General features: G+C 49.0%; 1 pseudogene, besides 1 other annotated feature; it reads right to left on the reverse strand.

Annotated features, from left to right (window-relative positions):
* On the reverse strand, positions 10,830 to 10,935 carry RNU6-317P (RNA, U6 small nuclear 317, pseudogene; annotated as a pseudogene).
* Positions 11,177 to 11,677: an enhancer, noted in NCBI's record as "H3K27ac hESC enhancer chr19:49296757-49297257 (GRCh37/hg19 assembly coordinates)". NCBI's record gives its function as "activates a minimal SCP1, AML or CMV promoter by ChIP-STARR-seq in naive H9 embryonic stem cells {active_cell/tissue: H9 hESC(naive)}" and the evidence as "EXISTENCE:reporter gene assay evidence [ECO:0000049][PMID:30033119]".

Below are 12,055 nucleotides of genomic sequence, written 5' to 3' on the forward strand. Positions count from 1 at the left end.
TGTTAGCCAGGATGGTCTCGATCTCCTGACCCTGTGATCCTCCCGCCTCGGCCTCCCAAAGTGCTGGGATTACAGGCGTGAGCCACCGCGCCCGGCCAGGGAGCCTTTAATGAGTTTAAAAGTTGTTGCATTCTTTCCTTTGCTAAATTTGGTTTCACGGGGAACACATTTCCTGGCCCCTGGGATTTGGGTGTGTATCCTGGTCTGTGACGCAGGCCAGGGGCTGGCATGTGACGCGAACCGGGGGCCACTTCCCGAAGCAGGTCAGCGAGAGGCACTCTGGAGCTGTTGCCCAGCCACTAGTGACGTCATGGGCTTTCAGTCATTCCTATTGGGTGCTCTTAGTGCTCTATCCTCAAACTCCGCAACCGGCCCTTGGAAAAGACTCTGAACTGAGGCTTCTGGAAAAAAGAATCCGAGCTTCCACGTCATTTCAGAAATACCCCCCTCACCTTATTTATTTATTTATTTATTTATTTATTTATTTATTTATTTATTTATTTATTTATTGAAACAAGGTCTGACTCTGTCGCCCAGGATGGAGGGCAGTGGCGCGATCTCTGCTCACTGCAACCTGGAACTCCTGGACTCAAGCGATCCCCCACCTCAGCCTCCCGAGTATCTGGGATTACAGGTACTCGCTACCACGCTCAGCTAATTTTTAAATTTTTTGTAGAAATGGGGTTTTGCCATGTTGCCCAGGCTGGTCTCGAGCTTCTGAGCTCAAGCGATCTGCCCGCCTCGTTCTCCCAAAGGGCTAGGATTACAGGCGTGAGCCACCGCGCCTGGCCCCCAAATTCTTTTATGTTTATAAATTTAAACTGTACGCCGGGCGTGGTGGCTCACGCCTGTAATCCTAGCACTTTGGGAGTCCAAGGCAGGTGGATCACCTGAGGTCAGGAGTTCAAGACCAGCTGACCAACATGGTGAAACCCTGTCTCTACTAAAAAATACAAAAAATTAGCTGGGCGTGGTGGCACACGCCTGGAATCCCAGCTACTCGGGAGGCTGAGGCAGGAGAATGGCATGAACCCAGGAGGCGGAGGTTGCAGTGAGCCAAGATCGCACCACTGCACTCCAGCCTGGGCGACAGAGCGAGACTCCGTCTCAAAATAATAATAATAATCATCATCATCATCATCGTCATCATCATCGTCATCATCAGCCAAGGGAAAACGTGGATGGGGCAGAGTCCAGGAGACACCAGGCGTGAGCTTTCAGATGTCCTCCCCCAGTGGAGTTCTAGACAGTGCTCAATTCTCCCGGTAATGACGTGTGCCAAAACGCATGCAGTATTGCCAACCAGGGAGTCTCACCCCAGATCTTAGGATGAAAAAAAAATTTTTTTTTTTTTTTTGAGTCTTGCTTTGTCACCCAGGCTGAAATGCAGTGTCATGATTTCGGCTCACTGCAGACTCAACCTCCCAGGTTCAAGCTATTCTCATGCCTCACGAGTAGCTGGGATTACAAGGGTACGCCATCACACCTGGCTAATTTTTTAATTTTTATTTATTTATGTATTTATTTATTTTTGAGACGAAGTCTTACTCTGTCACCCAGGCTGGAGTGCAGCGGCGTGATCTCGGCTCATTGCAGCTTCCGCCTCCTGGGTTCAAGTGATTCTCCTGCTCCAGCCTCCCAAGTAGCTGCAACTACAGGCGCCCGCCACTCTGCCTGGCTAATTTTTGGTTTTTGTTTTTTGTTTTTTTTGAGACGGAGTCTCGCCCTGTTGCCCAGGCTGGAGAGCAATGGCGCAGTCTCGGCTCACTGCAACCTCTGCCTCCTGGGTTCAAGCGATTCTCCTGCCTCAGCCTCCTGGGTAGCTGGGATTATAGGCACCTGCCACCATGCCGGGCTACTTTTTGTATTTTTAGTAGAGATGGGGTTTCATGATGTTGGCCAGGCTGTTCTCAAACTCTTGGACCTTGTGATCCGCCTGCCTCGGCCTCCCAAAGTTCTAGGATTACAGGCGTGAGCCACCACCATGCTGGGCCTAATTTTTGTATTTTTAGTAGAGACGGGGTTTTGCCATGTTGCCCAGGCTAGTCCCGAACTCCTGGGCTCAAGGAATCTGCCCGCCTCGGCCTCTCAAAGTGCTGGGATTACATTCGTGAGGCACCGTGCGCAGTCCGGGGGACAAAATTTTAAACAAGTGTTGGTCATGTAAGCATGGCAGACTGCACGTGTGACTGACCTCAGATACTCCAGCTGCCTCCTCCTGAGGGGTGGACTAGAACAGGGACTGGTAACCAGGGGTTAAAGGATCGGGACCTGACGCCTAAATCTTTTGAATTTACATGCAAAATATGGGCATATAACATGAGCAGTGGTTCAGGATGTGGGCAATGAAGAGAGAGAGCCTGAGTTCCCCCACCTCTTACTACTGGAGTAACCAGGGGCAGGAGACTTCTGAATTTCAGTATTCTTATCTGCACAAGTGGAAACGAGAGAAATACTGTAGGGCAGTGCCTTCTAGCGGGCTTAGAGGAAGCCTCTGGACATGGTAGCTATTACTTATTTGCTTAGTCTTTAGCATTCTGCACGTTTTGTTTGTTTGTTTGAGATGGAGTCTCTCTCTGTCACCCAGGCTAGAGTGCAGTGGTGCGATCTCAGCTCACTGCTACGTCCACCTCCCGGGTTCAAGTGATTCTCATGCCTCAGCCTCCCAAGTAGCTGGAATTACAGGCATCATCATGCCTGGCTAATTTTTGTATTTTTAGTAGAGACGGGGTTTCATCATGTCGGCCAGGCTGGTCTTGAACTCCTGACCTCAGGTGATCCGCCCACCTCAGCCTCCCAAAGTGCTGGGATTTACAGTTGTGAGCCACCCCGCCCAGCCAGATGTTCAAATTTTGATATGGATTAAATTCAGTTACTAGATCACTTTTTTTTTTTTTTTTTGAGACAGGCCCTTACTGTGTTGCCCAGGCTGGAGTGTGGTGGCACGACCCCATGGCTCACTGCAACCTCGACCTCGTGCTCAAGCAATCCTCCCACCTCAGCCTTCTCAGTAGTTGGGACTGCAGGCAGGTGCCACCATACCCAGCTAAGTTTTTGTTGTTGTTGTTGTAGAGACCAGGTGCATGCTGTTAAAACTAACTACCCGAGACTGGGTAATTTATAAAGAAAAGAGGTTTAATTGACTCACAGTTCCACAGGGCTGGGGAGTCCTCAGGAGACTTACAATCATAGCAAAAGGGGAAGGGGAAGCAAGGCACGTCTTATATAGTGGCAGGAGGGAGAAAGAGCTAGAGGAGGGAACCACCACAGTTTCAAACCATCAGATCTTGTGCGAACTCACTCATGACTACGAGAACAGCATGGGGGAAACTGCCCCCACGATCCAGTTACCTCCCACCATGTCCCTCCCTGGACCCGCTGAGATTATAATTCATAATGAGATTTCAGTGGGGACACAGAGCCAAACCATATCAGTTGCCAAGGCTGATCTTAAACTCCTGGGCTCCAGCAATCCTCCTGCCTCAGCCTCCCAAAATGCTGGGATTATAGGCATGAGCTACCGTGCCCAGCTGCATCGTCATCTTAATACTATTGTCTTCCAGTCTATAAACTTGGGATGTCTTTCCATTTATGTCTGTTACGAATTTCTTTCTTTCTTTTGTGTATTGTCAGTCTTTCACCATTGAGTAGGATGTTTGCTGTGGGTTTTTCATAAATGCCTAAGCCAGTGTTTCTGTTTTGTTTTGTTTTCTTCTTTTTTGAGATGGAGTCTAACTCAGGCTGGAGTGCAGTGGTGTCATCTTGGCTCACTGCAAACTCTGCCTCCTGGGATCAAGCGAATCTCTCGCCTCAGCCTCTCAAATAGCTGGGATTACAGACACCTGCCACCAAGCCTGGCTAATTTTTGTGTTTTTAGTGGAGGCAGGGTTTCCCCATGTTGGCCAGGCCGGACTCGAACCCCTGACCTCAAGTGATCTGTCTGCCTCGGTCTCCCAAAAAGCTGGGAATACACATGTGAGCCACCGCGCCCTGCCTAAGCCAGTGTTTCTATTTTTTTTTTTTTTTTTTTTTTTGAGATGGAGTCTCACTCTGTCGCCCAGGCTGGAGTGCAATGGCACAATCTCGGCTCACTGCAACCTGTGCCTCCGGGGTTCAAGTGATTCTCCTGCCTCAGCCTCCTGAGTACCTGGGATTACTGCCCACCACCACACTGGGCCAATTTTTGTATTTTTAGTAGAGACAGGGTTTCACCATGTTGGCCAGGCTGGTCTCCAACTCCTGACCTCAGGTGATCCACCCGCCTCGGCCTCCCAAAGTGCTAGGATTACAAACTTGAGCCACTATGATCAGCCAGCCAGTGTTACATCACCTCAGGGGAGTCTTTCCAAACACTCATCCCTTGAGATGTTTGTAAACTTGTATAATGCCCTAAAAATGGTTTTAACCACTCACACATTTGTTAGAAATGCTTATTCCTTGGTGCCATAAAGAAATAGCACTTGAGGCCGGGCGCGGTGGCTCACGCCTGTAATCCCAGCACTTTGGGAGGCCGAGGCGGGTGGATCACAAGGTCAGGAGATAGAGACCATCCTGGCTAACACGTTGAAACCCCGTCTCTAATAAAAATACAAAAAAAAATTAGCCAGGCGTGGTGGCAGGTGCCTGTAGTCCCAGCTACTTGGGAGGCTAAGGCAGGAGAATGGCGTGAACCTGGGAGGCGGAGCTTGCAGTGAGCCGAGATCGTGCCACTGCACTCCAGCCTGGGCAACGGAGTGAGACTCCGCCTCAAAAAAAAAAAAAAAAGACATAGCACTTGAACATTAATTTCCTCAGCAAGGCCATTTTTATTTTTATTTTTATTTTTTGAGATGGAGTTTCGATCTTGTTGCCCAGGCTGGAGTGCAATGGCACAATCTCAGCTCACTGCACCCTCGGCTTCCGAGGTTCAAGCAATTCTCCTGTCTCAGCCTCCCGAGTAGCTGGGATTACAGGCATGCACCACCACGCCCGGCTAATATTGTATTTTTAGTAGAGACGGGGTTTCTCCATGTTGGTCAGGCTGGTCTCAAACTCCTGACCTCAGGTGATCCGCCCGCCTTGACCTCCCAAAGTGCTGGGATTACAGGCATGAGCCACTGAGCCCGGCCAGCAAGGCCATTTTTACTTTCTGCAGAAAAGGTACACTCGCCAGCAGTTTTGCCACAAGAGTACAACGAACAAAGGAGACAGGGTCATTTATAACCTGACGCATCCACTCTACTGCCGTGTCGGGTTTCCATTGGCTGGAACGGGACCTCACATTCTGTATTTGTCCCAACTGGCTAGCAACTTGGAACTTTTTAAAAGAGGCAAAGGCAGAGGAGAACAAAGGAAGGGGGAAGTGACTTGTGGAATGCTGAGAAAGGTAAAAACACCTTCAAATAAGGAAGAGGAACAGGCTGTGACCTAATGCTTGCTTGGACCAGTATAAGCATGCCAGGGCAAATATTTAGGGTAAATTGTGGGAGCTAAAAACATAAAGTACACTGATTTCTTTATTACGGCTAGCAGATATTTAAGAATGTTAGCACAGGTCTTTGAATACATTTTGCGTCTAAGAGAAGTTACTATTTATTCCTAAGTAGACGAGGAGGAAAGTCTCTTTGAAGAGGAAGCTCTACTTTAATTTTTACACATTGCTAACTGATGAAATTGTATTTGGAGACTCACTCTGTAAATTGCCTCTTTCCTTAGTTTTCCATTTTTTATTTTTAGTTTACTTATTTATTTATTTTGAGACACAGTGTCACTCTGTCACCCAGGCTGGAGTGCAGTGGCTCAATCTTAGCTCATTGCAAACTCTGCCTCCCGGGTTCAAGGGATTCTCCTGCCAGGCTGGCTTCACTATGTTGGCCAGGCTGGTCTCAAACTCCAGACCTCAAGTGATCTTCCCGCCTCGGCCTCGGAAAGTGCTGGGATCACAGGTGTGAGCCACTGCGCCCGGCCTTCTCCTCTTTTGGCCTTTGACTTTATACTCAACACTGACCACCAGATGGTGCTGCAGGCACACCACAGCGTGGCCTGACACACAGCACGCTGTGGCTGGGTTATTACAGCTGAGATGTATTTACCTGGATTTATTATTTTATTTATTTATTTATTTTTCAGTAGGAAAGGTAGGGCCCGCTATTTACCAGGTTTTTTTTTAAGTGACAGAGAAAGACTGTCTTAAGCACACACACACACACACACACACACACACACACACACACACACACAGAGCTTATAAAACAGTTTAACGGCCGGGCGCAGTGGCTCATGGCTTAATCCCAGCATTTTAGGAGGCTGAGGCAGGAGGATGACCTGAGATCAGGACTTCAAGATCAGCCTGGCCAACATGGTGAAACCCCGTCTCTACTAAAAATACAAAAATTAGCCCGGTGTGGTGGCTCACACCTGTAGTCCCAGCTACTCGGGAGTCTGAAGCAGGAGAATTGCTTGAACCTGGGAGGCGGAGGTTGCAGTGAGCCGAGATCACGCCATTGCACTCTAGCCTGGGCGGCAGAGCGAGACTCCATCTCAAAAAAAAAAAAAAAAAAAAACAGTTAAAAAAAAAAAACAGTTTTTAGGCCCCATTATGCCTGTGTGATTCTTTGTGTCCTAATCTTGGGCGCACACACACACACACACACACACTTATTTATTTTTCTTGAGACAGAGTATTGTTCTGTTGCCTAGGCTGGAGTGCAGCGTTGTGATCTCAGCTCACTGCAGCCTCCACCTCCCAGGTTCAAGTGATTCTCCTGCCTCAGCCTCCAGAGTAGCTGAGATTACAGGTGCCCGCCACCACACCCGGCTAATTTTTCTATTTTTAGTAGAGACAGGGGTCTCGCCATGTTCACCAGGCTGGTCTCAAACTCCTGGCCTCAGGTGATCCACCCACCTCGGCCTCCCAAAATGCTGGGATTACTGGCGTGAGCCACGGCGCCTAGTCCTGTTTGTTATTTTAAAATGAAGACATCCTTAAGCATGAAAATGTCTTTAAATATTTTGAAAAATGTTTTCTAAAGCCATGAAGGCCTATAGTACCCTAAGTCTTATATAATTAAATTATAATTAAAGATTTAATCTGGCTGGGCCTGGTGGCTCACACCTGTAATCCCAGCACTTTAAGAGGCCGAGGCTGGAGGATCACAAGGTCAGGAGATCGAGACCATCCTGGCTAACATGGTGAAACCCCGTCTCTACTAAAAATACAAAAAATTAGGCAGGCGTCGTGGCGGGCGCCTATAGTCCCAGCTACTGGGGAGGCTGAGGCAGGAGAACGGCGTGAACCCGGGAGGCGGAGCTTGCAGTGAACCGAGATGGCGCCACTGCACTGCAGCCTGGGTGACAGAGCGAGACTCCATCTCAAAAAAAAAAAAAAAATTATTCTTTGCAGATATTCATTTTCTCACAGAATTGGACTCTTTTTTTTCTTTTTCTTTCTTTCTTTCTTTCTTTTTTTTTTTTTTTTTTGAGACAGGGTCTTGCTCTGTTACCCAGGCTGGAGTGCAGCGGCATGAACACAGCTCACTGCAACCTGGAATTCTTGGCCTAAACCCATCCTCCTATCTCAGCCTACCGAATAGCTGGGACCATAGGCACACGCCACCACATGCAGCTAATTTTTTTATTTTTTGTAGAGGAGGGGGGGTCTCACTATGTTGCCCAGGGTGGTCTCGAACTCCTGGGCTCAAGTAATCCTCCTGCCTTGGCCTCCCAGAATGCTGGGATTACAGGCATGAGGCACCAACACAAAGTTATTTTCCAAAGTGAGCTGCAGCGCCAACACTCACACCTACTCACTGTGTGCCCAGCACTGCTCATGGATAGCAGTTCTTGAACCCTTTGGTCCCAAGACCCCTTCACATTCTCAAAAATCACTGAGGCTGAGCACGGTGGCTCACGCCTGTAATCCCAGCACGTTGGGAGGCTGAGGCGGGCGGATCACCTGAGGTCAGGAGTTCCAGACCAGCCTGGCCAACATGGTGAAACCCCATCTCTACTAAAAATACCAAAAAAAAGGCCGGGCGCGGTGACTCACGCCTGTAATCCCAGCACGTCGGGAGGCCGAGGCGGGTGGATCACAAGGTCAGGAGATCGAGACCATCCTGGCTAACACGGTGAAACCCCGTCTCTACTAAGAATACAAAAAATTTAGCTGGGCGTGGTGGCGGGCGCCTGTAGTCCCAGGTACTCGGGAGGCTGAGGCAGGAAGAATGGCGTGAACCCTGGAGGCGGAGCTTGCAGTGAGCCGAGATGGCGCCACTGCACTGCAGCCTGGGTGACAGAGTGAGACTGCATCTCAAAAAAAAAAAAAAAAAGAAATTAGCCGGGCTTGGTGGCGGGCACCTGTAATCCCAGCTACTCGAGAGGCTGAGGCAAAAGAATCGCTTGAACCCAGGAGGCAGAGATTGCAGTGAGCTAAGATTGCGCCACTGCACTCTGGCCTGGGTGACAGACTGAGACTCCATCTCAAAAATCATCATCATCATCATAATAAATTGATGGCCAGGCACGGTGGCTCACGCCTATAATCCCAGCACTTTGGGAGGCCGAGGCAGGTGGATCGTGAGGTCAAGCGATAGAGACCATCCTGGCCAACATGGTAAAACCCCTTCTCTACTAAAATAACAAAAAAAAAAAAATTAGCTGAGTGTGATGACACACAACTGTAGTCCTAGCTACTCGGGAGGCTGAGACAGGACAATTGCTTGAACCCAGGAGGCAGAGGTTGCAGTGAGCCAAGATCATGCCTCTGCACTCCAGCTTGGTGACAGAGCAAGACTCGGTCTTAATAATAATAATAATAATTGATTACATTGTACCTGCTCTAGAAAAGAAAAAAGAAAAAAAAATCATTGATGATAGTCTCTTAGGCTGGGGGTGGTGGCTCGTGCCTGTAACCTCAACACTGGGAGACCAAGGTGGAAGGATCGTTTGAGATCAGCCTAGTGGGACCTTGTCTCTACAAAAAATAAAAAATAATAAAATTAGGCTCAGTGCAGTGGCTCATGACTGTAATCCCAGCACTTTGGGAGGATAAGATGGGCGGATCACTTGAGCGTAGGAGTTTGAGACCAGCCTGGGCATTATATTGAGACCTTGTCTCTACAAAAATAAAAATAAAAAATTAGGCAGGCATAGTGGCACATGCCTGTGATTCCAGCTGCTTGGGAGGCTGAGGTGAGAGAATTGTTTGAGTCTGGGAGGTCGAGGCTGCAGTGATTACTGCAGTACACTGAATGCGTCACTGTACTCCAGCCTATAGATATACATGTGTGTATATATATATGTAGGGGTGACGCTTGTGAATTCTTTTTTAATTTTATTATTTTTATTTTCTTTTTGAGATAGAGTCTTGCTCTGTCACACTGGCTGGAGTGCAGTGGCACGATCTCATCTCATTACAACCTCTGCCTCCTGGGTTCAAGTGGTTCTCCTGCCTCAGCCTTCCAAGTAGCTGGGATTACAGGCATGCGCCATGATGCCTGGCGATTTTCTGTATTTTTATTTCATTTATGTATTTATTTAGAGATGGAGTTTTGCTCTTGTTGCCCAGGCTGGAGTGCAATGGCGTGATCTCGGCTCACTGCAACCTCTGCCTCCCGGATTCAAACAATTCTCCTGTCTTAGACTCCCGAGTAGCTGGGATTACAGGCATGCGCCACCACGCCCGGATAATTTTTGTATTTTTAGTAGAGATGGGGTTTCACCACGTTGGCTAGGCTGGTCTCGATCTCCTGATCTCGGCTTCCCAAAGTGCTGGGATTACAGGCGTGAGCCACCTCACCCAGTCTATTTTTTGTATTTTTAGTAGAGACAGTGTTTCCACATGTTGGCCAAGCTGGTCTGGAACCCCTGACCTCAGGTGACGAGCCTGCCTTGGCCTCCCAAAGTGCTAGGATTACAGGCATGAGCCACCAAGCCCAGCCTTAATTTTATTTTAAGTTCTGGGGTACATGTGCAGGACATGCAGGTTTGTTACATGGGTAAACGTGTGCCATGGTGGTTTGCTGCACCTGTTAACCCATCACCTGGTATTAAGCCCCGCATCCATTAGCTATTTATCCTGATGCTTTCCCTCCCCACCACCCTGCAACAGGCCCCAGTGTATGTTGTTCCCCTCCCCGTGTCCTTGTGTTCTCATTGTTCAGCTCCCACTTATAAATGAGAACATGCGGTGTTTGGTTGGTTTTCTTTTTTTCTTTTTTTTTTTTTTTAGATGGAGTCTCGCTCTGTCACCCAGGCTGGAGTGCAGTGGCACGATCTCGGCTCACTGCAAGCTCCACCTCTCAGGTTCACACCATTCTCCTGCCTCAGCCTCCCGAGTAGCTGGGACTACAGGCGCCCACCACCATGCCCGGTTAATTTTTTTTTTTGTATTTTTAGTAGAGACAGGGTTTCACCATGGTAGCCAGGATGGTCTTGATCTCCTGACCTCGTGATCCACCTGCCTCAGCCTCCCAAAGTGCTGGGAGTACAGGTGTGAGCCACCGCGCCCGGCTTCTTTATTTTTTTGAGAGAGGGTCTCACTCTGTCACCCAGGCTGGAGTGTAGTGGTGTGATCTTGGCTCACTGCAACCTCCATTTCCCAGATTCAAGCAATTCTTGTGCCTCAGCCTCCCGAGTAACTGAGAGTACAGGTGTGTGCCACCATGCCTGGCTCATTTTCATATTTTTAGTAGAAATGGGGTTTCACCATGTTGGCCAGGCTGGTCTCGAACTCCAGACCTCAAGTGATCTGCCCACCTCGGCCTCCGAAAGTGCTGGGATTATAGGCGTGAGCCACTGTGCTCAGACCGGTGTTTGGTTTTCTGTTCCTGTGTTAGTTTGCTGAGGACAAAAAAATATGGAATGCTTTGCGAATTTGTGTGTCATCCTCGCACAGGGGCCATCCTAGTCTTCTCTGTATCATTCCAATTTTAGTATATGTGCTGCCGAAGTGAGCACATGGATTGTTTTATCAAGGGAAGAAAGCTTCCCAGAGGCCTCCAGGCAAGTTTCCCTTAGGATCCCCTTGGCCTCTAACCTTTCCTTGAGGGATCATTGACAATGGGAAATGAGAGGATGTGGTAATGGGTCTGCTGACGCCGTAAAAAACTGGACTTTCAGTGTCAACGCCGATGGCTGCTGGATAGGCCACAGATCATGTTTGCCAGAATAGTCCCACAGGGTGTCCCTCCAGCAAATTGGATCAAGGAGATTAAGCACCACACCTGAGGTCACACAGCCAGCCGATAACCAAGGCAGTCTGTGAATTCGAATCTGCAAGAGGATGTGCCTCGTCCATCCGAATGCCTGGCTTTCTCTACACCTCCACATAACAATTATAATATGAAAAGGTATATGTGGGCCAGGTTGGGTAGCTCATGCCTATCATCCCAGCATGTTGAGAGGCCGAGGCAGGTGGATCACCTGAGGTCAGCAGTTTGAGACCAGCCTGGCCAACATGGCAAAACTCCCATCTTTACTAAAAATACAAAAATTAGCTGGGCATGGTAGTGCACGCCTGTAGTCCCAGCTACTGGGGAGGCTGAGGCAGGACAATCGCTTGAACCCAGGAGGCAGAGGTTGCAGTGAGTCGAGATCATGCCACTGCACTCCAGCCTGAGCGACAGAGCGAGACTCTGTCTCAAGAAAAAAATAAAATAAAGTGTGTGTGTGTGTCTGTGTGTGTGTGTGTGTGTGTGTGTGTGTGTTGGAGTGCAGTGGCATGATCTCTGCTCACTGCAACCTCTGCCTCCTAGGTTCAAGCGATTCTCCTGCCTCAGCCTCTCAAGTAGATGGGATTACAGGCACCCTCCACCACGTCCAGCTGGTTTTTTTGTATTTTTAGTAGAGATGGGGTTTCACCATGTTGGCCAGGCTGCTCTTGAACTCCTGACTTCAGGTGATCCGCCCACCTTGGCCTCCCAAAGTGCTGGGATTACGGGCATGAGCCACAGTGCCTGGCCTTTTTTTCAAGACAGTCTTGCTCTGTCACCCAGGCTGGAGTGTAGTGGCACAATCACAGCTCACTGCAGCCTCAACCTCCCGGGCTCAGGCAATCCTCCCACCTCAGCCTCTGGAG

This window comes from Homo sapiens, chromosome 19, assembly GCF_000001405.40.
Source record: "Homo sapiens chromosome 19, GRCh38.p14 Primary Assembly".
Lineage (NCBI taxonomy): Eukaryota > Metazoa > Chordata > Mammalia > Primates > Hominidae > Homo > Homo sapiens.